The sequence below is a fragment of the Homo sapiens genome, chromosome 8, assembly GCF_000001405.40.
Source record: "Homo sapiens chromosome 8, GRCh38.p14 Primary Assembly".
NCBI classification, from domain to species: domain Eukaryota; kingdom Metazoa; phylum Chordata; class Mammalia; order Primates; family Hominidae; genus Homo; species Homo sapiens.
In genome coordinates this window covers 97330790-97356844 of record NC_000008.11, presented here as the reverse complement: position 1 = coordinate 97356844, position 26055 = coordinate 97330790, and the positions used below count along the sequence as shown (strand labels likewise).

The 26055-nt window shown below is 40.0% G+C and overlaps 1 long non-coding RNA gene across 1 annotated transcript in view, besides 2 other annotated features; it reads left to right on the top strand.

Annotated features, from left to right (window-relative positions):
* LOC101927066 (uncharacterized) overlaps positions 1-26055 on the top strand; it is a 494634-nt gene that overhangs the window by 89653 nt on the left and 378926 nt on the right. The window lies entirely within an intron of this gene.
* Positions 20945-21550: an enhancer, noted in NCBI's record as "H3K27ac-H3K4me1 hESC enhancer chr8:98347523-98348128 (GRCh37/hg19 assembly coordinates)". NCBI's record gives its function as "activates a minimal SCP1, AML or CMV promoter by ChIP-STARR-seq in naive H9 embryonic stem cells {active_cell/tissue: H9 hESC(naive)}" and the evidence as "EXISTENCE:reporter gene assay evidence [ECO:0000049][PMID:30033119]".
* Positions 21551-22157: an enhancer, noted in NCBI's record as "H3K27ac-H3K4me1 hESC enhancer chr8:98346916-98347522 (GRCh37/hg19 assembly coordinates)". NCBI's record gives its function as "activates a minimal SCP1, AML or CMV promoter by ChIP-STARR-seq in naive H9 embryonic stem cells {active_cell/tissue: H9 hESC(naive)}" and the evidence as "EXISTENCE:reporter gene assay evidence [ECO:0000049][PMID:30033119]".

Below are 26055 nucleotides of genomic sequence, written 5' to 3'. Positions count from 1 at the left end.
ACTGCTTAGTGTTATATAGTCAAAATACACTTTAATCCATGTATTGATTGATTGACTTTTACATGACTATGCCTAGAGTTTAGTAACAGCTGACTAAACACTTTTCCAGGTTGAAATGATCATAGCCATGCTCTATGGAGTAAGGTTTTGAGAATGCATCACCCACATTACCTGATGCCACCAGAATCCTCTTCTGAGGGGATCTGAGCCCCGCCAGTGTCTGGCTCTGCATAAAGGTGGGGGTGAGGCACAGACATCAGATGCTCATCCTGTATGCGTTCCTTGCTCTTCACAGGAAGATGTCAACACCTGTACACTTTACGGAAGGACACAGGCCTGCATCTGACTGGTGCTGTGGAATTCCTGCACCCCAGACTGGTGTCAGGGAGTAAATCTCCAGGCTTGGTGTAAGAAAATGTGTTTTTGGAGCTCTGCTTCCTGGGATTCAGCCAAGCCATTGGAAAGCTGTAAAATCTGAGGTTTGCCCTTTTAACCTAGGCTTTGATGTTTCACTACACTGAGATGTGTTATAAATGGATCTGTGAAACAGTCTCACAGAATGGTTGCTGACTTTGCTGTAGGGATGCTGTAAAGTTCAACAGTCTATTATTATGTTACACAGTAATTTTTTAAGAGGCTCAAGTGAGAAGTTTTCTGTAAGTCTCAGTATCAAGATGGAGAGTTTTTTCCCCTGAGCACCTAGTTTGTTTTTGATTTTATGAATATGGTAAAACATGTAAATGAATACATTTCTCTCTTTGAGAAATATAGAATCAAATTTGCTGCGTTCTTCTACAAAGTGCACAGGACTCTGTGGGTATATATGTAGTATATTAAGTCTAACTTCATCTTACTTGTTTCTGCCTGAATTTTCCTCTTTATCTGTTTACTTCACTGATTTGCCTTCTTGTGTACTGAATGTGTTTTTGTAACCCACCTCAAATATTTCTGGAATTAAGGGAATTGAGAAGAGTGCAGTGGTTAAAAATGTGAATTCCCATGTTAGGCTGGCCTGAGGTCAAATTCCTGTCCTGCCACTTAATCCTTGTGTGACTCTTAATCCAGGGTGACTTACCTGACCTTGTCAAATCTCAGCATCCTCATTGTTATCTATGAAATGGGGATAGCAAGAGTACTAAGGTTTTTTTTAAGGCTGTGGTGGGTAATAAATGGAAACCATTTAATGTGGTGGCTAGCGTACAGTAAGTACTGAGTCAATGCTACATAATTATGACTATTATAAATACTAGAACTAATGAGAGAATAAATAAATACATGAATAAATAAATGTACCTATTTATTTGTAGGTACATTTAATAATATAATTATTTATATTGGAGGAGAAAAACTCAGGTCCATCCTGCTGGAGCATTCCTCTCCTCTCATAGACTGGAGCAGTCTGGAGTATGAACTATGCAAACTCTAACGATGATGGCTTCAAATCCTATAGAAGCTTACAACCCCCTAAGCCTTAAGAAGGATTTTTATTTTTTATTTTTTAACTAGAAAGGAATGAAGAAAGGGTCATAAAATGTTAAAGTATATTGCTGACTATATTGCTGACCCATATTGCTTTTCACCAGTAACTCCTAAAATAATTACCATCTCAAAAACAATTCCAAACAATAAAGCTGCAGCTGGTGTGTGGGCTGTCATCAATGCAGAGGAGGTCTGAGCCCTGCCACATTGCTAGCCACTGGCCCCATACCCCCAAAACTTAAAAAGTGAAACAAAAATATAACAGTGGACAGAATAGGCTGAATATGAGTAGAATAAGCTGATAATGCTACAGTGAGTAAAAATCAGACATATTTGAAAGAGGATAGTAATACCAAGATAGTGTCTTTATTAGGTACTTTTAAAGATGAACCTATTATTTCCCCAAGGAACTCTGAAATTGCGTAAGCTCCAGGCACCAGACTGAGAACTCATTTTGGACTGGACTCTTATGTTCCTTACTCATCGTCAACTCTATTCCAGCACCCAGCACATGCCTGGCACAAATGTTTGCTGACAAAACAAATGTATGAATAGGTTGCCTCAAGCAGTGGGGGGCCCCACCAATGACTGGACAATCCCCCTGGAGTCATCAGGACTAAAGGAAGCTCGGTGACCCGTGGGTGGGTGAGTAAGCACATGGAAGCCTTTAATCCCAGGAACATGGGAATGGAGATTGCTTTCATTCACTCATTCGTTCAACAAGTTTGCTAAGTTATTCCCATGGCCCTGATACTATGCTGGCCACAGTGGATATCACTGACAAGGCAAACTCAGGCTCGCTCCTTCTGGTGCTGACCATACAATAACAACACAGTGTGACAGGCACAGCAAGACATTCTATGGGATGACAAAGGAAGGATACCAAATCTAGATGAGGAATGAGTTGGAGGTCTTGATCAGGTTAAGAATAAAGGGGTTGGGAGACAGCAGGGACAGCCAGAAAATGAGGAAGAGGAGGGCGCATGGGAGACACTGGCCATGCCAGGTCAGTGTGTCTGGAGCAGAAGTGATGATGGGAGAATGATGAGAGCTAAGGCTGGCAGAGAAAGGAGAGGGCCAGATGGGCAGGGCCTTGGCACTATGATAAGGAATATCAGCCTTATGCTGGAAGCAATGCGGAACCATGGAAGGTTTTAAGTAGGAGAGTTCTAAGATCAGATCAAAGTTTGGGAAGCTCACTCTGGGTGCCATGGAGAATGGATTTCAGGGTGGAGACTAGAGGCAGGAAAACAACTCAGTAAGGAGGCTGCTGCATGAGCAGGCAGCAGAGGGTGGGTGTGAAGGGGATTTGGGAGTTCTCAGTGATTGGTTATGACTGGCAAGAGAAGAAGAAGAGTTGCCAGAGCTACCTGCAAAAGAACGAAAGTAAGATGGATGCTCTTTGAGTACTGGATGAGCCATTTTTCCACTTCTAACTCTGTAAAAGTTACCTTGTGATCCCCAAGAAGGGAAGTGAGATCTGTCTTCAACACGCAGGGGACGATCCCAAAGTTCTCAGACCTCCTCTTCTCGCTTCATTCCCAATCTTCCCGTCATGGTGGCTTTGGAGGTGCAGTCACATTGGAAAGTCGTGGGAGCCTGAGGTGCCCTCTGATGGGCTTTAGGTGGCTTTAGGATCTGACGCTGCTATCTACAGACAGGTGGGAGTTAGGAGCTGCATGGGAGGGCTTTGTGGAAAATAGGTGGAAATCAATGGAAGATACAGTTACAGCATTGAACTTCTTGGAATTTGGAGGCAGAAAACCTGCACCCAGGCTCCATCTGGTGTGAGCTTGGGCGTATCATTTAGGTTCCATCACTAAAAAGTCATTTAACTTCAACACTAAAAATTACCATGACCTACAGAAGTCCATGAGTCATTTACACTCTGTGATTTTCAGTTTTTTCCTTTATAAAATGAGAATTAAGATATCTACCCGTGTGTACCTTGAATGAAACAAATCACACATGTAATAGTGCCTTGGAAATGTAATATAATGAACTCTGCACATATTGGAGACCTGTGAGACTGTCATTTGGTGGACGTGGCACAGCTACTGTAAGTCAGACAGACTTGGATTTGGGTTTTGAATATACTACAAATTAGCTGTTGGCAAGAGTAGCAGGATGGCTTCCAGTGATCCCATCTCCTGATGTTTGCTCCCTGCATGACCCTCTCCTTCTGTGTTTATGTGGGCTGGGCCTAGTGATTCCAATTAGTAGACTATGGCAGAAGTGATGGTCTGTCATTTTGGAGATCAGCTTGTAAAAGACTACCTTGTTTGCATTCTGTCTCTGTGACTCTGATGTGATGAGCTGCCCTAAGGAGAGGCCCATGTGACAAGGGACTGAGGATGGCCTCCAGCTAAGTAGTATGGAACTGAGCTCCCAGTCCAACAGCCCCAAGGAAATGAATCCTGCCAGCTCCCACGTGAGTGAGCCTGAAAGTGGATCCTTCTGAGTTTGAGCCTTGACATGATAGTTATTACTATTATGCAAAAGGCTGCAAAGCCCAGGGACAGTTGAATGCTATAGACAATGGGTACATTCAGTTTAGGCCAGTGACTACTGTGGCTGCCCTGTCATAGTATAACCACACTCCATTATTACTGCTTGTTTCATTGTGTGTCTTGTTCAGCTAACTAAGAACTGGAGAAGGATGGGGGTACCTACATTCTGCCACCATGATATCTCCTGTGCCTAGCAACACTCAGTGAGGGCTGTTAAATGAATGAATACATATTTGAATTAATAAGAGGGTGAGGAAACTCCTTGTCCCTTTGGGAAGTCTGGTACTTAAAGCAGCTGCCACGTGTCCCAGGAGAGAACACAGGGGAGTGGAAGGACCACTCTGGGGTGAGAGTGTCAGGGCCAAGTCTGATGCTCATTACACTCTCTTGGGCAGATATTACCCAAGCCTCAGTTTTCTCATGTGTGAAATGGGTGCAAGAGTTGTCCTAACTTCTTAACAGGATTGCTGTGAACATTAATTGAGATCACAGACACAAAAGTACTTCATAAATTGCAAACACAAAATAACTATTAGCCATTAGGAATGTTGGTGGAATCTGGTCCCAAGATGGTGATTCTTCTCAAGTGGCCTATTACTCATCAGGCAGGTTTTGAATTTTATAAATTCTGATTTACAAAATGTGTTAGGATTGTACACAAAATCCATTAACTCATTTCATAGAAAAAACAATATTCTGACAAACTTTACTTTTTATTTTCTGAAGCATGTTCTCTTTTCAATGGGTACACAATGCTTTGTGTTTCTTTTTATTCATCTTTGTAATTAGCATGTTTTGGGTTTGCAAATGGTAAACACCATTTTACAGATGTGTAAATAGGGGCACTCTGGTTTTGCCTTTACAATGTGTTGTTGGTTCATTTAATTTTAGCTCTGAACATTTGTTTTGTGCCCATTGACCGGGGGTAAACACACTGAGTGACTTGAGGAAGCAAAGGCTCTGGAGAGGGTCCCTCACTATGCTAGATTCATCCCGAGGAACAAGTTCCGCCTTGAATGAAACACACCAGCATGTGAAACTGACTGGACAACCATTCTGGCCTCAGAGAAACACAAATGCAGCAAAGAAGGCTGAGCCAGTTTCCTCTGAGCAGGAAATTTCAAGGCCTCTTTCCATCACACCCCAACCTCCCTTACCAAACACATCTTCCTCTGCACAATAGATGCCTTTCTCCAGCGTTTTCCAGATTGAGTTCAGTAAGAGAGTCACCAGTTTGCCATAAATGAAGGCACCCTGTGCCATGAACATGAGTTTGGGAAACAAGGCATCCTTTATCTTCTTCTTGGAAAATCATAATGCCCCATTAGACAACTAATTTTAACATGACTGAAATCAAAATAAACATTATCTACTCAGAGCAAATTGCCTTCTTTGTTCTTTCTTATATCTCTTTCATAACAATGATAACCTTCTTTTCTGACTTTTAATTTTTTATTTACTTGTATATGTCTGTGGTTACTCTAATGTCATTGACAGTACAGAATAACTTTTTCATCTTCGTATTTCTCCTGGGCCCAGCACAGTGCTATGAATGGAATAGGTGCTCAATAAATGTTTTTGGGATAAACTGGTTGAACAATGAGTGTTGCACCATCCAGAGTGGGCCAAAAAAGCAGAACTTAGAAGACGAGGGAACAAGGAGGCAAAGCAAGTCAGGTTTGTTTTTTTTTTGAGACAGAGTCTCACTTTGTCATCCAGGCTGGAATGCAGTGGCGCTATCTCAGCTCACTGCAACCTCTACCTCCCAAGTTCAAGCTATTCTCCTGCCTCAGCCTCCCAAGTAGCTGGGATTACAGGCACCCACCCCGACACTCGGCTAATTTTTTTTGTGTTTTTAGTAGAGACAGGGTTTCACCACGTTGTCCAGGCTGGTCTTGAACTCCTGACCTCCAGTGATCCGCCCGCCTCAGCCTCCCAAAGTGCTGGGATTACAGATGTGAGCCACCACACCCGGCACCAAGTCAGCTTTTTAATGGGTTGTAATCAAACAGTTACTGGTGAAAATCCTACTTCGTTCAGCTGCTTCAGGCAGCTCTGACTATTTAGTCATTGCTCTGAACCATTTATTCTAACTATTATTCAGTGTCATATAAGCATGGTCTGTTTCTACTTTCCTGCCCAGGGGACATTTCTTCACCCACAAACATCCTCTTCCATTTTTTCTTTTTTTTTTCTGGAGACAGAGCTTTTTTTTACCAGGGAAAGCAATTTTGAAACTGCCTGTCTTGATTTGGAGTTAATGGAACCAAATACACTGCCAATTTTAAATTATCAATAAGATGATCATCTCACAATAACCTTGATAGCCTCTGGTCAGATACTAACTTAGGCCATGTTTAAACATCTGTGTCACCAGTCACCTCTCATGTGATGGGTAGAAAGTAATTATTGGAAGCTTTGAATATACTCACAGATTCTACATGACTCATCAGGCCTTCCTTTGCTTTAAGGACAAATTTAAGTGGAAGAAAGAACTTAGACTGGCTAAAGAGTCAGAAGAATGTGTGATGGTATCATGTGTTAATTCTCCCATATAAATTTTATGAATAAAGATTTTCTGTCTTTTAGTTAGCCCAGATACATGTTTCTGGGCATCTGAGTGTAAGAGAAAGAAAATAACTTTTCAGACAATAATTCTGATGCCCAACACATGACAATTGCTAAAGGAAAGGAGGCAGGACTGTGTTGGGTTGTTTTCACGGCTAGCAAGATGAAACGCCAGAGTGAGCTCAGGCAAAGGTCTGCATTCTGTAGTGCGAGCCCTAGTGAAAGTGGAAATAGTGGGGGAATCTTTCCCACTGTTTCCTACAACCTGAGCAGCTCGGGGCCACATCTGGTCTGTTTCATCATTCATGACTGAGTAAGGAAAAGAAGTCCCCAAGAGGAACAACATGGTCTTGCACACACTTATCAAGGGCCATTCAAGGAACCCAGCTGGGGGAAGCAGAGTTGGTCAACAATACCTTCACTAAAAGTAACACCTGTTAAATTTCTAGTTATTGACAGGGATTTGCAAGGCATGCCAAAGACAGAAGAATCAGACTTTCTTTGTATTATTATCAGTGTTTTTTGACTCCAGGGTGGAGGGGCAAGTGGAGCAGCAACATGGGCAGTGCTGGAGGCCGGGAGACTCAGAAACACTACCTGTCAGAGAAGAGAGGGAAACTGTAGCTAAGGGCAAAGGGAGGTTTCAGTGGGCCAAATAGATAAACCAGGCAGTGAATTCCTTTGGAAGCAAGGGAAGTGCTGAATCATTTAATGCTGAAATTGTCGTTGGAGTTACTGAAAGGAGTCTAGGAGACAAGGCAGAAAATCATTAGCAGAAATTAATTATCTACTGCTTTCAACACTAAGGATTATGCTGATCTATGCAACCCAAAAAAGCCAGAAAACCTGAGGGGTCTTGACAGGAGGCTGCTGTTCTGGCAGGTAGAAGGGGGCGGCAACTGGGGTGGGAGTTGTTCTGTGATGCTCTGGAGGAAATAGTATCACAGACCTTGGTGCAGTTGAGAGAGGGGAGGATTCCTATAGACAAATGGAAAGAGAAGGCCAACACAGATGGGGGCCTAGCAGCTGCTTGTGAAGGAAGTTAATTGCTGATGAGCTCAGCTTCTGGCTAAGAGAGCTGTTTGGTTTGGTTCTCCTGCAGAACCTTGTGGATAGAGAGAAGGCACATACTGTACAGTCTGGGGGACAGGCTGACTGCACCAGAGGGCACCATGACCCCAGAAGGTGGACAGGACATGACAACGCTATCTCAACTAGGTTGGAGCCTAAGGCTGCCTTGCTCCCTCCAGAGTATACAACCCCAGATTTCTGGATGTAAATTTTCCACTGGGTGTCTAGGCAGTACACCTGCCATAAAGAACTGTCTGATAAACCCTCTTTCTCTTCCAAGGGCTGGGGAGGTGGGGTAGGAGGCTGGTTGGGATCCTGGCTATTATTCTGGACATGGTCATGGTTGGGATTAGGGCCAGTACTAAGGTAAAGTGAGTGAGGTACTTACGGTGCAAAACGGAAGGAAGCAATACTCTCAGGGTCACCTGAGTGCACTGTCGGCGCCTCCTTCCATTCTGCACCCTAGGCATCTCACTCACCTTACGCTACTGCTGGCCCCAGTTGGAGTCAAGTATTCTTGCACTTCATTTCATAGTAACCAAGCCAGTCTGGAGCCTCTGTTTCTTTCTGGTGTCTAGAGAGCCTGTGGCCAAATCTGGAATGCATCAGGGCAGGAGAGGGGTGTTTCATTCTCTGCAGCTCTCAGATTCGTAGGAAGCATGGCTACCTTTATAGGGCTGCTGTGGGTGCTTGCAGCCTACATAACTGTTCCTTCTTTGAGCAGAGAGAGGTAAGAAATACAAAGATAGCTTTCACCAGTGTACGATAAAGGGAATCCCAAAAGGACACTGGTCAACTTTTAAAAATAACTTATCTTTTGTTTTCTGTTTAGAAAAGCAAATAAATCTTCATATTAAATAGAGTTAGAAAATAAAAATGACCTGTAATTCCAACCTCCAAAATTAGATCTGTGCTGGCGGTTCATTTAGATTTTCATCTTTAATCACATGGTCCTGGTGATGACAGTAACAAAAATGAGGGTGATGACCATACAACAAACATGTATGGAATGTTAATTTCTCCATGTCAACCACTGTGCTAATTGCGTTACTTGCATTGTTCAACATGACCTAATTTATTTCTCAACAGTACCATGAGGCCAGCAATATTATTCCTATTTTGAAGATGAAGATCTGGGGCTTAGAGAGGTAATAACTTGCCAAGGTGAAATAACTGGTATGGGGCACAGTTGGGATTCAATCCTAGGTCTACCTGACCCTGCAGCTTGAGAGCAAGAAGATGGATTAGAAAGGGTTTTCCCTTTCATTCTGTCCCAGCTCCCCACTCCAGTTCCTTCCCTGTCCTCTCACAAAGGAAGCACAGAGTGAAAGCGGAACAGCAGATCTCATTTTGAAGGTTTTCCACCCTCCTAGAAGGAATGAAACAGGAGCCCTCCAAACAAGAGGTGGAATGTTGGTCCCTTCTGCCCATCCCACTCTGATTTAGTTTTGTCCCCTCCAAATCTCATGTTGAAATGTGATCCCCAGTTTTGGAGATGGGGCCTGGTAGGAGGTGATTGGATCATGGGGGCAGATCTTTCATGAATGGCTTAGTGCCATTCCCTTGGTGATGAGTGAGTTCTCACTCTGAGTTCATGTGAGAGCTGGTGGTTTAAAAGGAGCCTGGGCCAGGTGCAGTGGCTCACGGCTGTAATCCCAGCACTTTGGGAGGCCAAGGCAGGTGGATCACCTGAGGTCAGCAGTTTGAGACCAGCCTCGCCAACTTGGCGAAACCCTGTCTCTACTAAAAATACAAAAATTAGCCTGGCGTGTTGGTGGGCGCCTGTAATCCCAGCTACTTGGGAGGCTGGGGCAGGAGATTCGCTTGAAACCAGGAGGCGAAGTTTGCAGTGAGCCAAGATCGTGCCATTGCACTCCAGCCTGGGCAACAAGTGAAACTCCATCTCAAAAAAAAAAAAAAAAAAATATACACACACACACACACACACACACACACACACACACACACACACACACGTTATGTATACAATAAATAAATAAAAGGAGCCTGGATCCTCCTCCTCCCTCTCTTGCTCCTACTCTTGCCATGTGACACCATCTGTTCCCCCTTTACCTTCCACTATGATTGTAAGCTTCCTGAGGCCTCCCCAGAAGCAGATACTGACATCATGCTTCTTGTACAGACTGCAGAACCCATGAACTAAAAGAAACTTCTCTTCCTTATAAATTACCTAGTCTCAGGTATTTCTTTATAGCAATGCAAGAATGAACTAACACATGTTCCCACTTCTGCAAATGTTTATTGAGCTTACTCACTTTATATAATTCACAGCTTTGAAAGAAAACACTTTCCTTTTTGTATTTGTACTTAGATTTTCTAGATTGTCTTGAATTTTTCTGACGCTTGTGTGAAATTTGGAGCAGCGGAAAAGGCAGGGTGCATTAGAGAGGATGTGTCCCACTCAGATCCAATGCTTCTCCATATCAGATGAAAACAGAATCCAAGATGATATTAATACCTGAATGATATTAATACCTGATTAGAAAACACAGAAGAAAAGATTAGTGAACTTGAAGCCATAGCAATAGAGAATACCCAAAATGGAACACACAAAGAGAAAAGAATTTAAAAAAAAGAATATTGCATCTGAGCTGTGGGACAACTTTAGGTGGCTGAATGTGTGCATAATTGCAGTTCCTGATGGAGGCACAGGGGAACAGAAAGATTATTTAAGAAATAATAACTTAAAAATTCCCAAATTTATTGAAAACTATAAACCCAAGGATCCAAGAATCTCAACAAACCTCAAGTACAAGAAGCATAAACGACACCAAAGGACATTATTATCAAACTTCTGAAAACCAGTGATAAAAAGAAAATTATAAAAGCAGACAGAGAAAATGACATATTTTGTACAAAAATAAGAATGACAACAAATTAATTGTCACAAGCAATGCATGTAAGTAGAGAGTTGGGTAACATTTTTAAAATATAGTACTGAAAAAACCCAGCCTGTCCACCTGGAATTCTATACCAATGAAAATTATTTTTTAGATAATGATGGTGAAATAAAGATGTTTTCAGATATACAAAAGCTAAAAGAATTCATCACTATCAATTATCTTCCACTCTGTGCAAAGCACTGTACTAGGCACACAAATAGATGTAAGTAATTTCCTTATCTCAATAACCCTGTTGTGTAAATAGGGAGTGTAAGAAAGATGTGACTGAAACCCTCGTGTCAGGAGTGGCTACCAATGAAGGCCAGCAGCACAGCTGGGTGGGCTAACCACCAAGTGTCCAATAACCTTTTTAAAAAAAGACTAACCAAAGCAAGAAAGAAAAACTGGGGGGTTAGTATCTGGGAGAAGTTTAAGGTTATTTTCTCCTCTTGGGAAGTTTGGACAAATTGGCCTCCTCTTTTTCTCTTTCTGTCTCCTTGGCAATGTCTCAAGACCAGGATATATACCCAGGAAGAGAAGTTTTGACCTGCTTTGGTGAGATTTGAGAAAAAACTAACTGAGTGAAATCTATAGGGGGTTGAGATTCTTATTTCTGCTCAATGTTTTAAAAAATGGAATTACGTCCCAACAGCCAAACATTGGAAGATTTTACATAAAGCTAAATTTTTGGCATATCTTGAAATATCAGACCCAGTAACACCGAGCCTACAACCCTTTTCCAGGAAATGGGCTGGAACTGTATGGTGGCTGCACCTGTTGAGCAGCATGCAGGCCCAGATTTGCTGCAATGTAATTGATTGAATTATACCATCCTCCTGGCACCCATAGGCATTCGAGTTTGTATCCTGTGCTACAAGGCCATTGCACGTGATGTGGCCCTGTTGAGATATTCTCTTGCTAGGGCTGACAGATTTAGCAAAGAAACATACAGGATGCCCAGTTACATTTGAATATCAGATAAACAGTGAGTAATTTTTTTTAGCGTAAGTATATCCTGTGCAATATTTGAGACATACTTACACTAACAAATTATTTATTGTTTATGTGAAATTCAAATTTAGTTGTGTCTCCTATAATTTATCCGGTGACTTTATCCCTTGGAGCCACAATAATCTCAGACTGCTCCCTTGGGAGAAGGCCTGTTGCCTCTTCTCTTCCCCTTTAGAAGTGCTATCCTCTACTTTGACACCAAACTGAGGTCCCTCTGGGAAGACAGCCTAGGCCAGCTTCGTTCTTGATTTTGGAAGGAATTTGCTGTCTCCCTTTCTCTTTAGTTTCTTTTCTTTGGTGGTGTAGCTTGAATCAATTTTTCCTTGCACTGCAATGGTAACATGAAGATCTCAAATATGAGCTTTGGGGAAAATAGTCAAGGACCTGCATTTGTTCAACGTAGGAACAGACTCCTCCCTATGACCTCATTTTGTTCATCTAAGTTCTTCATTCAGTTTTGGACTCAAATTTTCAGCCAAGAGTGAAGTGTTATTTAGCCTTATTTTGCTTTTTGTCATCTGGAGGCTTAGATTTCCCCTGGGGACCTTGAGTGGAGTGTTAAGAAAATTATGCAAAACTTGGAAATAAAGCAAAAGGATTACTGTATGACTTTGCAATGTCATCTAAGGCTATGTTACTGCAAGTGTGGCTTGCTGACTAATGATGTCACCTGGGAACTTGTTGAAATGCAAATTCCCAGGCCCTGCCCAAGACCTACTGAACCAGAATTTCTGGGGGCAGGGCCTAGGAGTCTGTATTTTCAGTTTGAGAAGCATTGATCTTGAGAAGCTTGCCTAAGTGTTTTCTTACACTCCAGGGGAATACAACATAGTTTGTACATTGATTTGGGCTCGGTTGTTTATAATAGTAGAAAGGTGGTGATAATTTTAATTTTCTGTCCTGTAGAGAAGACAATTGCAAATATTATGGCTTTACTGCTCTCTTGGACACTAACTAATTTTGTGTCTGACTTTGCAATTTTACTTTGGAATCCTTTTCTTCCCTCTGACTGCAGAAGTCCTATTTTCTCATCTCTTCTTTCGCACTGGCTTTGTCATCCTGCTTCTCTCATTAATGAGTTGAATAAAACTTTGACATGTGCTCACTTATCTATCCACATGAAAATTAGATTTTTAATATTTTGAAAATTGTACTTTGACAGAAGGATAACTGAGAGAAGACAGGATTCATCTCTTCTTTAGACTCCTGGCTAAATACTGTCATAACACTCTCTGCCTTAATCAGGGTCTATTTTGTTACAAACGACCAAAGCCAACTCAAATTAGCTCAAGGGGAAAGGGGCTTATTGGAAGCTTACAGGGAAGTCTGATGGGATTCATGTTCAGGAAGTATAGCTAAGCCTCAAAAGGAGGTAGAAAACTGTGAGGTGGTCTCTCTTGTTCTTTCTCTCCAAATGCTTACATGCTCCTGCTTTTTTCTAGACAGGAGCACTACTCTCTGGCTTCTCTTTGTAGACTGGTTTCCTTGCTTTCTTATTGGTATGAATGTGGCTTAAAATGGATATGAATAACCTTCCAGTCCCAGAAGAAAGAACCTTTTTTGTTTGGTGAACCCATAAATCACTGGCTTTTGGTTACACACCACCTGGCTGTGGGGTGGGGGAGGATCACATGATCATCTGCCCAGAAGCTAAGGATTAGAGCAGATACTCTAAAGGACCAGTAGGCAAGGGAGGCAAATTTGTCTCTGATACTCTGCCCTTTAATAAAACTGTGTAAGAGATTTAGGAAAGAAAGATGATGAAAGTGGTGTTCCTCCCAGGGTTTCTTCCCTTGGTCATGAGAATGGGGTTGGGACCAGTTTGGCTCAACTTATCCTTGAAGCCTAACAAATAGGAAAGCCTCTCAGTTTGTTGAAATGAGTAGAGTGAAAGCTGAAGAAAAAGACTGATTTTTAATTAAAACTCTTTAAAATGAAATCTAATAACAGCCTCATTTGAGGGGCTAAACAAATAATTGATCTCTGAGAAAATAATGTCATATTGGATTGCATTTTTAGCCACAACATTTGTGATTTTAATATATGTATGGAGTCTAACACCACATATAACAAATAAATCCCTAGATTTCATTGGCTTAGCACAGTTGAAGTTTATTTTCTACTCGCAGAAATACAAAGTGGTATTCTTGGTCAGTGGATGCAATCCTTTTGTTTTCTTAGGTTTTTTGAAATTTCTGTCAATAATTCTTTGTTCATCTTTTGTTAAATTTATAGCAATTGCATAATTTTAATATAAATATTACCTTAAAAATTTTTTTATTTTGTCATGATTTGTTGCTAGTATTTGGAAATACAATTTATTTTTCTATATTGCCCTGGATATGTTTATCTATCAATCTTGCTAAGTCCACTTATTTATTTTAATAATTTATAGGTACATCTTTTTGTATACAATGTGTGCATACAATCACATTGTCATAAGAATTTTATTTCTTTCCCAATCTTCCTACCTTTTACTTTTTTTTTCTGGTCTTACTGTCCTGGCTGGGTCTCTCAGAATATTGCTTCATAGAAGAGATGTCAGCAGTGTCCTTGCTAATTCTCATTTTCACTGGGAGGAGATTTCAAAATTTTACCATTATGCATTATATCAGTCAGCATCAGTTAAGACACAGAAACCATGCCAGTTATTTTAAGAGGGAGAATTTAATTTGAAGAATTGTTAACCACATTTCAGAGAAGAGAAAAGGCAGAGAGGACAGTAGGTATCACAGAGGTTGTTGTTACAACAGGAAACAGCTACTAGTCCAGTGCTGGGAAAACAAAGAGAAGAGGTTGGTAGTCATAAAACTTAAAAGCTTAGATGAGGGTCTCCATGGATTCAGATCATAGACCCCTGGGTGCAGGTCACTCACTGCCTGATTGGTGCTGGTGCTTGGGAACCTTGAAGAGGGTTCCTTGGAGCTGGGGTTCCAATCTTGAAGGAGGGAGTAACTCCAGGGCTAGTCTTAGGTCTTGGGAAGGAGCAACTCCAGAGTTGGTCTTGGGATCCCTGGAGGGGCATGGTGAGACAGATTCTAAAGTAGGAAAAAACTGCAGAGTGGCACCAACAGCCACTATTAGGAACAACTGTTGCTGTCAGGATGAAGAACTTCTGGTGCATTAATACAAACATAAATGGAAAGCAAACAGGAGGGAGAAAACCTTTTTCCTCCTCCAGCCTTGGAGCCTCCCTCTTATGCCCCTTATTGGCACAGCTGAACATGGATTCTGCTGGCAAAGTGAAAATGTGATTTGCAGAGTCCTGGCCCCCAATAACAAAGAAAAGTAAACAAGGATGGGCTTCAAACCTAACAATTATCCAATGGCTTAATAACTCAAAACAATAATGGTGCTGGCTGTCGGCATTTTGTATACACCTTCATAAGATAAATTTACTTAATCAGGAAATTTACTTTATCACGAAATTCACCTCTGTGCCTAGTTGTTGAATTTTTATAGTAAATGTATGTTGACTTTTATTAAATACTTTATCTGTATCTATTGAGATTAAAATTAGAAAGATGATTTGGAATGTTAAACCAACCTTCCATTCCTGAAATAAATCCAACTTGATTGTGTTGTATGATATGTTTACCTACTGTTGAATTGGATTTGCTAACATTGTATTTATTTCATGAGAGGGATTTTGTTGTTAATTGTTTTCTGTGAGGTTTAGTATCAAGTTTATCCTGGCTTCATGATACAAATGGGGACATACAGACTATTTTATTTCTTTATCTGGAAGAATATGTATAAATTTAACATTATTTTTTAAATGTTTAGAAAAATTGGTGAAGCCATCCAGATTTGCATTTTAAAATGAGCTTGTTTTTTAAAGTGGGAAGCTCTATATTATTCAATTTCTTTCATAAATATAGGGCTATTCATATTTCTATTGCTATATGTCTATTTCTTTTTGAGTCAGTTTGGTAAATTAAGTTTTTCAAGGACTTTGCCCATTTCATCTAAATTTTCAATTGTATTGGCATAAAATTGTTTGTAATATACACATATTACCTTTTAAATATCTATTAGATCTGAAATGATGTCTCTGTTTTCATTTCTGATATTGGTAATTTGTGTTTTCTCTCTTTTTTTCCTTCATTCTTGCTAGGGGTTTATAGAGTTTATAAAGTTCTATTTAAAGAACCAACTTTTGTCTCTGTAAGTTTTCTCTGAATTTGTTTTCTGTTTCATTAATTTTCTGTTCTTTATGTCTTTTTTTTTCCATTTCTTTTTTTTCTTCAACTTTTATTTTAAATTCTGGTGTACGTGTATAGGATGTGAGGGCTTGTTACATAGGTAAACACGTGCACAGATCAACCCATCACCTAGGTATTAAGCCCAGCATGCATTAGCTCTTCTTCCTGATGCTCTCCCTCTCCCCACCACCACCCCCGACAGGACCCAGTGTGTGTTGTTCTCCAACATGTGTCTATGTGTTCTTATCATTCAGCTCCCACTTATAAGTGAGAACATACGGTGTTTGCTTTTCTGTTCCTGAGTTAGTTTGCCAAGAATAACGGCTTCTAGCTCCATTCATGTCCCTGAGAAAGACATGATCTTTATGTCTTTTAAAACTTTCCTGAGATGGATATTTAGATCATTAAATTTCAAGCTTAATTCCCTTCTAATACATGATTTTAAGACTATATATTTATCTGTAAACACACCTTGGGCTGCATCTCACAAGTTTCGATATGTTATAATCTTATTAATCAGTTAAAGTTATTTTCCAATGTCTGTTTTTATTTCTCTCTGATCCCATGGGTCATTTATAAATATATTTTAAAATTTCTAAATGTATATAGTCTAACTGTATTTTTATTATGTATTTATGGCTTTCTTTTAATGAAGTCAGAAAACATTTTATATAATTTTAATTTTAGAAAATTTATTAAGACTTTCTTTTCAGCCCAGTTTATAGTCAGTTTAAGTAAATGTTCTATATGCACTTGAAAAATGAGTGTATCTTTCAGTTTTTTGGGCAGAGCGTTCTGTATGTGCTATTTAGATCAGATTCATTATTTGTGTTGTTGAACTCTTTCATATCTTTGCTAATTCATTGTCTGTTCTTTCAGTTACTAAGAGAGATGTATTAAAATACCAACTGTGATCGTAAATTTTTCTATTTCTCCCTTAGGTTTTAAGTTTCGTTTTATATGTTTTAAGGCAATGCTATTAGATGCAAACAAATTTGAGATTGTTTTGTCTTTTTTAGTGGATTGATGCTTTTTCATTATAAAATGTCTCTATTTCTGATAATCTTCTTGCATTAAAGTTTACATTGTTTGACATTACTAAAGCTACATCAACTTTGTTCCCCCATTTAATGTCATCAGCATGTAATTGGTTATCTACAATACAATCTAACAAGCTTTGTTTTTAAAGTACATTTCATATATTAACAATGTAATTATTGTTGTATTTGTAATATTTGTCCTGTCCTTTTTTTCTACTTATCGCTTTTTTTTTTTTTTTTTTTTTGAGACAGAGTCTCACTCTGTCACCCAGGCTGGAGTGCAGTGGCACAGTCTTGGTTCACTGCAACCTCTGCCTCCTTGACTCAAGGGATTCCCCGGCCTCAGTCTCCTGAGTAGCTGGGACTACAGGCATGCGCCACCAAGCCCAGCTAATTTTTGTATTTTTAGTAGAGACAGGATTTCGTCATGTTGGCCAGGCTGGTCTTGAACTCCTGACGTCAAGTGATCCACCCACCTCTGCTTCCCAAAGTGCTGGGATTACAAGCATGAGCCGGTGTGCTTGGCCTTCTCATACATTCTTGTTTCCTGTTTTTCTCCTTTTTAAAATTTACCTATGGCCTAACCAAATTTTAAAATTTCATCTATTCTCCATTAGGTTGTTAGTCATAGCTATTTTTTTTTTACTGTTCTATTAAATTATTCAATAGACTATGATATACAACCTTGAATTATTAGAGCACATTATAAATTAGTACTGCTACCATTTATCAAATAATGCAAGAATGTTAGTATTCTTCAATTGTTTTTATTGCTTTCTGAATTTGCTATTTTTGTCACGTATTTTTGTTATACATATATTTAAAATCAAAGTATCTTTATCATTTTTTTTGCAGTCAATTTTTATTTAGGTGTATCAATAAAGTTATTCTTCCCATTGATCTTCATTCTTTCCTGTATTTCCATGTTCCATGTAGGATCATTTTTCTCTGCCTAAAGAATTCGCTTTAGTATTTCCTTTAGGTGGTCTGATGACAATTTCAATCTCTTTTTCTGCCTGAAAATGTTTTATTTTGCTTTTATTTTATTTTGAGACAGAGTGTTACTCTCTTGCCCAGGCTGGAGTGCAGTGGTGTGATCTCAGCCCACTGCAACCTCCACCTCCTGGGTTCAAGCGATTCTCATGTCTCAGCCTCCCCAATAGCAGGAATTACGGGTATGTGCTACCATGCCCAGCTAATTTTTTTATTTTCAGTAGAGACAGGGTTTCACCACGTTGGCCAGGCTAGTCTTGAACTCCTGACCTCAAGTTATCCACCCACCTCAGCCTCCCAAAGTGCTGGGATTACAGGTGTGAGCCACTGCACTCAGCCTATTTTGTTTTTATTTTTGAAGGACATTTTCACTGGATATTGGCAGTTATTTTCATTTAACAACTTAAAGACAACATTGCTTCCATAATTTCTGTTGGTAGTCAACTGCAAAGATTACCTTATCTTTGAAAGTAATGCATATTTTATCCTAAGTGGGTTTAAGATATCCTTTTGGTTTTGTTTATCACAATTTTTCTATGATGTGGTTAGGTATGGCTTTCTTTGTATTTATTCTACTTAAAATTTGTAGAATTTTAAAAATTTGTGGTTTGATGCCTTTATTTTAGGTAGCTCTCAGCCTAAATATCTCTTCAAATATTGCTTTTACCCTATTCTCTCTATCTTCTCCTTCTGGGAGGTGAATTACAATATGTTAGACCTTCTACCACTTTCCATGTTTCTTATCCTTTGTTCAGTATTTTTCCATTCTTTTCCCTTGCTGTTCTGCAGACCGGCCTATCAGTTTCTATGGACCTATCATTTATTTACTAATCCTGTATTTTGCTGTATCTAGTTTCCTGATAATTTCACTATGGGGATTTTATTTTTAGTAATTGCATTTTTTCGTTTTATAATTCTCATTTCATGCTTTTATAGATTCTAGTTCTCTAGTGAAATTTTTATATTTTCATCTATTTTGTTGAAGATATCAAAGATAGTGATTTAAAAGTCTGTATCTGACGGTGATTATCTGTAGCATTTGTAGGTCTATTCCTATTATCTAATTTTCCCTTTGGTTTTTAGTCATACAGTCCTTTCTCTTGGCATATCTGTAAATTTTCTTTTTATTCAAGGCCAGAATATCTCTATGAGAAATTGTAGAGGCTTTTTTTTTTTTTTTTCAGAGAGGGTTAACTTTTCTTGTAGCAGTTAGAGAAGTCACAGATGACCTTGATCCTGTTGCAAATCATACCATTCCAAGCTGGATTTCAGTCTTTTTAAAGGCTAATATATTTCCAGTTTTTGTCTTCTAGAGAGTAACCCTTCAGGACTGTCATTGGAAAGTCTTCTGTGCTTACTAGGGCCCCTTCTCTTGTCAGGCCCTAACCTCTACTTTTGTTTCCTAGCACCGTGAGAATCCTAAGAGTTCTGCTTAGCTTTTTCCTCTTAGCTGTTGTTTTGTTTATTGTGCAACTTGAGAATCAGCAAATTCTTCATTGAGAAAAGTCACACAGACAGAATATGGGGCCCTCTTACCTGTAGTTTCCTTTTCTGTAGTATCTTAGGACTTTAGGTACTGACTTATTTGTCACCTAAAACTTCAATTTTTGTTTCTGTAGCTCCATGAAACTGCAAAAAGCTCTGAGAAGTTACGTTTTGGTTGGCTTCTTGACTCTACTTCATTTACAAATTGGCAGAGAAGAAAGGCTCACAGAAATGCCTTTCCCTCCTCCCTGGGGTCTTGGCCCAGCAACTTTTGGCTGCCTTAACTGATTACTGATATCTTTAAGCAGCTGTTTCTAATATTCTATTCAACATTGGGAATTGTTTTTAGTAGGAGAGGTGGTCTGATAAGAGGTAATCCATTATAGTTGGAAGTGGAAGTCCTCTCTAATTCATTTTTAAAAGATTAAAATTTTCTATTTACACAATTGAAAGTTCAAATAACTGATGAGGCAAAATTTTGATCTATGCCTCTAGGCATGCCAACTTCAAATGTAATAAAATAATATGTGCAGGAGGATTTTTTGTTTTGTTTTGTTGGGGATGTAATAACTGCAGAGTTTCATGCTACTTAGAAAGTAGCTGAGATGATTTTTCAAGGGACCATTTCCTAATTTGCTTTGGGAAACACCAGTGCCCTGTACAGTATTAGCAAGTATTCTGTAGAAAAAGATTTTTATGGTTAACTTACTTTGTGAAGTAATAGTTATGTAGAATTCTTTACTTCACAATGTTTCTGAGCCCTAGGTATGTTGTATGGCTTCTAAGTCTCTAAGAGGGAGTTATGGTGTGCAGAATTTCCTAAATTTATTTGATCAAAGAACCTTTGAGGAGTGACTCATGGGGAAGTTTTATCCTACCTACTCAAGTTTAGAAACCACAGTTTTATGAGGAAGAAAGACTAAGTTGAAAGTTAGATGATCTCTGACCATGGCTCTGACATTTATTAGCTGTGTAATATGTTATATGACATTGCATCTCTGATCTATTGTTTCCTTATTTGTAAAACGAAGAGGCTGCACTTGAGATGTCTAAGATCTAAGCTTTTTTTCTTCTATGATATTATCGAGAATGTTGCCTGTATGTATCACACAATGTTTTCCCAGCCCCTGACTCTCATTAGTGCCTTCTCCTTTGTACTGAATTATGAAGCTCTGAAGTAGTGGCTGTATTATTGAAACACACACACCATCTTTGGATTTGTGTCAAATCACTAAACTGAAAATGTAGGTCAGATAATTTTTGACATTTAGATATACAATATGGTAATTGTAAAAGCAGAGGGTGACCTGGTTTTACTTACTGAGAACCACAATTGGGCTTATGATGTTTTGTGTAGAGTTGCTGATCCTGATAAACTTAATCTTTTTTTTTTTTCATGGCCTCATAGAAAACAGGGAACAGGAGAAAACCCAGGGTGTGTACAAGGTGGGAAATTAATAATAGACCCTCTCTTTAAAAAGCGGTGACCCTAAGGGGTTGGTTTTATCCTTCCTCTCTCCCCTATCTGCAGAGGAAATTAATTGTCTCAAAACTTGGTGCTAATCAGAGGAAAAGTCCTCTCAGAATTTTTAGCCACACAGTGGGCCTCATGCTAATTTGAAGTCTGAATTTAAACGGAATTAGCAGCTCAAAAAACATTGAGCCATGAATGTGATTTAAAGTTAGACTTATAATGACAGGCCTCCAGGAGTGTGGCAGAAGCCAATGTGGGTTATCTCTGGAGGAACCCATCGTCATCCCAGGCCCTTAAGCAATTTCCAGAGATAAATTTTCAAGCAAACTGAGCAGCTCATAGTTAAAAAATCACAAGGATAGAAAGCAACAGCAGAACGAACAGACTTCAGAAACAGACCTAAAAATACTCTGGATCGCTATAGTAAACATATTTAATAAAGTAAGAGACAAGCTTGAAAATATGAGCAGTGGAAAGAATCTATAAAGAATAGGCAACATTTTTTTTCTGGGCAAGGTGGCCAAATAGGAAGAGCTCCAGTCTGCAGCTGCCAGCGAGACCAATGCAGAGGGTGGGTGATTTTTGCATTTCCAACTGAGGTATCCAGTTCATCTCACTGGGACTGGTTAGACAGTGGGTGCAGCCCACAGAGGGTGAGCAGAAGCAGGGTGGGGCGTCGCCTCACCTGGGAAGTGCAAGGGGTCGGGGAATGCCCTCCCCTAGCCAAGGGAAGTCATGGGGGACTATGCCATGATGGACGGTGCTATCCAGCCCAGATACTACACTTTTCCTGTGGTCTTCACAGCCTGCAGACCAGGAGATTCCTTTGGGAGCCTACACCACCAGGGCCCTGGGTTTCAAGCATGAAACTGGGTGGCCATTAGGGCAGACACCCAGCTAGGTGAAGGAGTTATTTTCATACCCCAGTGACACCTGGAAAGCCAGTGAGACAGAACTGTTCACTCGCCTGGAAAGGGGAATGAAACCAGGGGGCTGAGTGGTCTTGCTTAGTGGATCCCACCCCCAAGAAGCCCTACAAGCTAAGATCCACTGGCATGAAATTCTTGCTGCCAGCACAGCAGTCTGAAGTCGACCTGGGACACTTGAGCTTGGTGGGGGGAGGGGCGTCCACCATTACTGAGGCTTGAGTAGGCGGTTTTCCCCTTACAGTGTAAACAAAGCCACTGGGAGGTTTGGACTACGTGGAGCCCACCACTGCTCAGCAAAGCCACTGTAGCCAGACTGCCTCTCTAGATTCCTTCTCTCTGGGCAGGGCATCTCTGAAAGAAAGGCAGCAGCCCCAGTCAGGGGCTTATAGATAAAACTCTTCTCTCCCTGGGACAGAGCACCCAGGGGAAGGGGCGGCTCTGGGTGCAGCTTCAGCAGACTTAAATATTCCTGCCTGCTGACTCTAAAGAGAGCAGTGGATCTCCCAGCACAGCGCTTGAGCTCTCCTAAGGGACAGACTGCCTCCTCAAGTGGGTCCCTGACCCCTGAGTCTCCTGATCGGGAGACACCTCCCAGCAGGGGTCGACAGACACCTCATACAGGAGAGCTCCTGCTGGCATCTGGCAAGTGCCCCTCTGGGGCACTTCCAGAGGAAGGAGCAGGCAGCAATATTTGATGTTCTGCAGCCTCTGCTGGTGATACCCAGGTAAACAGGGTGTGGAGTGACCTCCAGCAAACTCCAGCAGACCTGCAGAAGGGGGGCCTGACTGTTAGAAGGAAAACTAACAGAAAGCGACAGCATCAACATCAACAAAAAGGATGACCGCACAAAGACCCCATCCGAAGGTCACCAACATCAAAGACCAAAGGTATATAAATCCATGAAGATGAGGAAAAACCAGAGCAAAAAGGCTGAAAATTCCAAAAACCAGAAAGCCTCTTCCCTCCGAAGAATCACAACTCTTCGCTAGCAAGGAAACAAAACAGGACAGAAAATGAGTTTGACAAATTGACAGAAGTAGGCTTCAGAATGTGGGTAATAACAAACTCCTCCAAGCTAAAGGAGCATGTTCTAACCCAATGCAAGGAAGCTAAGAACCTTGAAAAAAGGTTACAGAAAGTGCTAACTAGAATAACCAGTTTAGAGAAGAACATAAATGACCTGATGGAGCTGAAAAACACAGCATGAGAACTTTGTGAAGCATACACAAGTATCAGTAGCTGAATTGATCAAGTGGAAGAAAGGATATAAGAGATTGAAGATCAACTTAATGAAACAAAGCACGAAGACAAGATTAAAGAGAAAAGAATGAAAAGGAATGAACAAAGCCTCCAAGAAATATGGGACTGTGTGAAAAGAGAAAACCTACATTTGATTGGTGTACCTGAAAGTGATGGGGAGAATGGAACCAAGTTGGAAAACACACTTCAGGATATTATCCAAGAGAACTTCCCCAACCTAGCATGACAGGCTGACATTCAAATTCAGGAAATATGGAGAACACCACAAAGATACTCCTCGAGAAGAGCAACCTCAAGACACATAACGGTCAGATTCACCAAAGTTGAAATGAAGGAAAAAATGTTAAGGGCAGCCAGAGAGAAAGGTCTGGATACCCACAAAGGGAAGCCCATCAGACTAACAGTGGATCTCAATGCAGAAACCCTGCAAGCCAGAAGAGAGTGGGGGCCAATATTCAACATTCTTAAAGAAAAGAATTTTCAACCCAGAATTTCATATCCAATGAAACTAAGTTTCAGAAGTGAAGGAGAAATAAAATCCTTTACAGACAAGCAAATGCTGAGAGATTTTGTCACCACCAGGCCTGCCTTACAAGAGCTCCTGAAGGAAGCACTAAATATGGAAAGGAAAAACTGGTACCAGCCACTGCAAAAACATACCAAAATGTAAAGACCATTGACACTATGAAGAAACTGCATCAACTAATGGGCAAAATAACCAGCTAGCATCATAATGACAGGATCAAATTCACACATAACAATTTTAACCTTAAATGTAAACAGGCTAAATGCCCCAATATAAAGACAGACTGGCAAATTGGATAAACAGTCAAGACCCATTGGTGTGCTGTATTCAAGAGACCCATCTCACATGCAAAGACACACATAGGCTCAAAATAAAGTGATGGAGAAATATTTACCAAGCAAATGGAAAGCCAAAAAAAGCAGGAGTTGCAATCTTAGTCTCTGATAAAACAGACTTTAAAGCAACAAAGATCAAAAAAGACAAAGAAAGGCATTACATAATGGTAAAGGGATCAATTCAACAAGAAGAGCTAACTATCCTAAATATTTACAGACCTAATACAGGAGCACCCAGGTTCATAAACCACATTCTTAGAGAACTACAAAGAGACTTAGAGTCCTGCACAATAATAGTGGGAGACTTTAACACCCCACTGTCAATATTAGACAGATCAATGAGACAGAAAATTAACAAGTATATTCAGGACTTGAACTCAGCTCTGAACCAAGAGGATCTAATAGACATCTATAGAACTTTCCTGCCCAAATCAACAGAATATACATTCCTCTCAGCACCACTTCGAATTTATTCTAAAATTGACCACATAATTGGAAGTAAAACACTCCTTAGCACATGCAAAAGAACAGAAATCATAACAGTCTCTGAGACCACAGTGCAATCAAATTAGAACTCAGGATTAAGAAACTCATTCAAAACTGCACAACTACATAAAAACTGAACAACCTGCTCCTGAATGACTACAGGGTACAAAACGAAATTAAGGCAGAAATAAATAAGTTCTTTTCAACCAATGACAACAAAGACACAATGTACCAGAATCTCTGGGACATAGCTAAAGCAGCATTTAGAGGGAAATTTATAGCACTGAATGCCCACAAGAGAAAGCAGGAAAGATCTAAAATTGACACCCTAACATCACAATTGATAGAATTAGAGAAGCAAGAGCAAACAAATTCAAAAGCTAGCAGAAGGCAAGACATAGCTAAGATCAGAGCAGAACGAAAGGAGTTAGAGACATGAAAAACCCTTCAAAAAATCAATGAATCCAGGAGCTGGCTTTTTGAAAAGATTAACAAAATAGATAGACTGCTAGCTCGACTAATAAAGAAGAAAAGAGAGAAGAATCAAATAGATGCAATAAAAAATGATAAATGGGAGATCACCACTGATCCCACAGAAATACAAACTACCATCAGAGAATACTATAAACACCTCTATGCAAATAAACTAGAAAATCTAGAAGAAATTGATAAATTCCTGGACACATACACCCTCCCGAGACTGAACCAGGAAGAAGTCGAATCTGTGAATAGACCGATAACAAGTTCTGAAATAGAGGCAGTAATTAATAGCCTACCAACCAAAAAAAGCCCAGGGCCAGATGGATTCACAGCCAAATTCTACCAGAGGTACAAAGAGGAGCTGGTACCATTCTTTCTGAAACTATTCCAAACAATAGAAAAAGAGGGACTCCTCCCTAACTCATTTTATGAGGCCAGCATCATCCTGATACCAAAACCTGGCAGAGACACAATAAAATAAAAAAAGAAAGAAAATTTCAGGCCAATATCCCTGGTGAACATTGATGCGAAAATCCTTGATAAAATACTGGCAAACTGAATCCAGCAGCACATTAAAAAGTTTATCGACCACAATCAAGATGACTTCATCCCTGGGATTCAAGGCTGGTTCAACATATGCAAATCAATAAATGTAATCTATCATATAAACAGAACCAATGACAAAAACCACATGATTATCTCAATAGATGCAGAAAAGGCCTTCAACAAAATTCAACAGCCCTTCATTCTAAAAACACTCAATAAACGAGGTATTGATGGAACGTATCTCAAAAAAATAAGAGCTATTTATGACAAACCCACAGCCAATATCATACTGAATGGGGAAAAGCTGGAAGCATTCCCTTTGAAAACCGGCACAAGACAAGGATGCCCTCTCTCACCACTCCTATTCAACATGGTATTGGAAGTTCTGACCAGGGCAATCAGGCAAGAGAAAGAAATAAAGCGTATTCGAATAGGAAGAGAGGAAGTCAAATTATCTCTGTGTGTAGAAGGCATGATTGTATATTTAGAAAACCCCACCATCTCAGCCCCAAAACTACTTAAGTTGATAAGCAACTCCAGCAAAGTCTCAGGATACAAAATCAATATGCAAAAATCACAAGCATTCCTATACACCAATAATAGACAGACAGCCTAATCAACTCCCATTCACAATTTCTATGAAGAGAATAAAATACCTAGGAATATAATTTACAAGGGATGTGAAGGACCTCTTCAAGGAGAACTACAAAGCACTGCTCAGGGAATAAGAGAGGACACAGACAAATGGAAAAA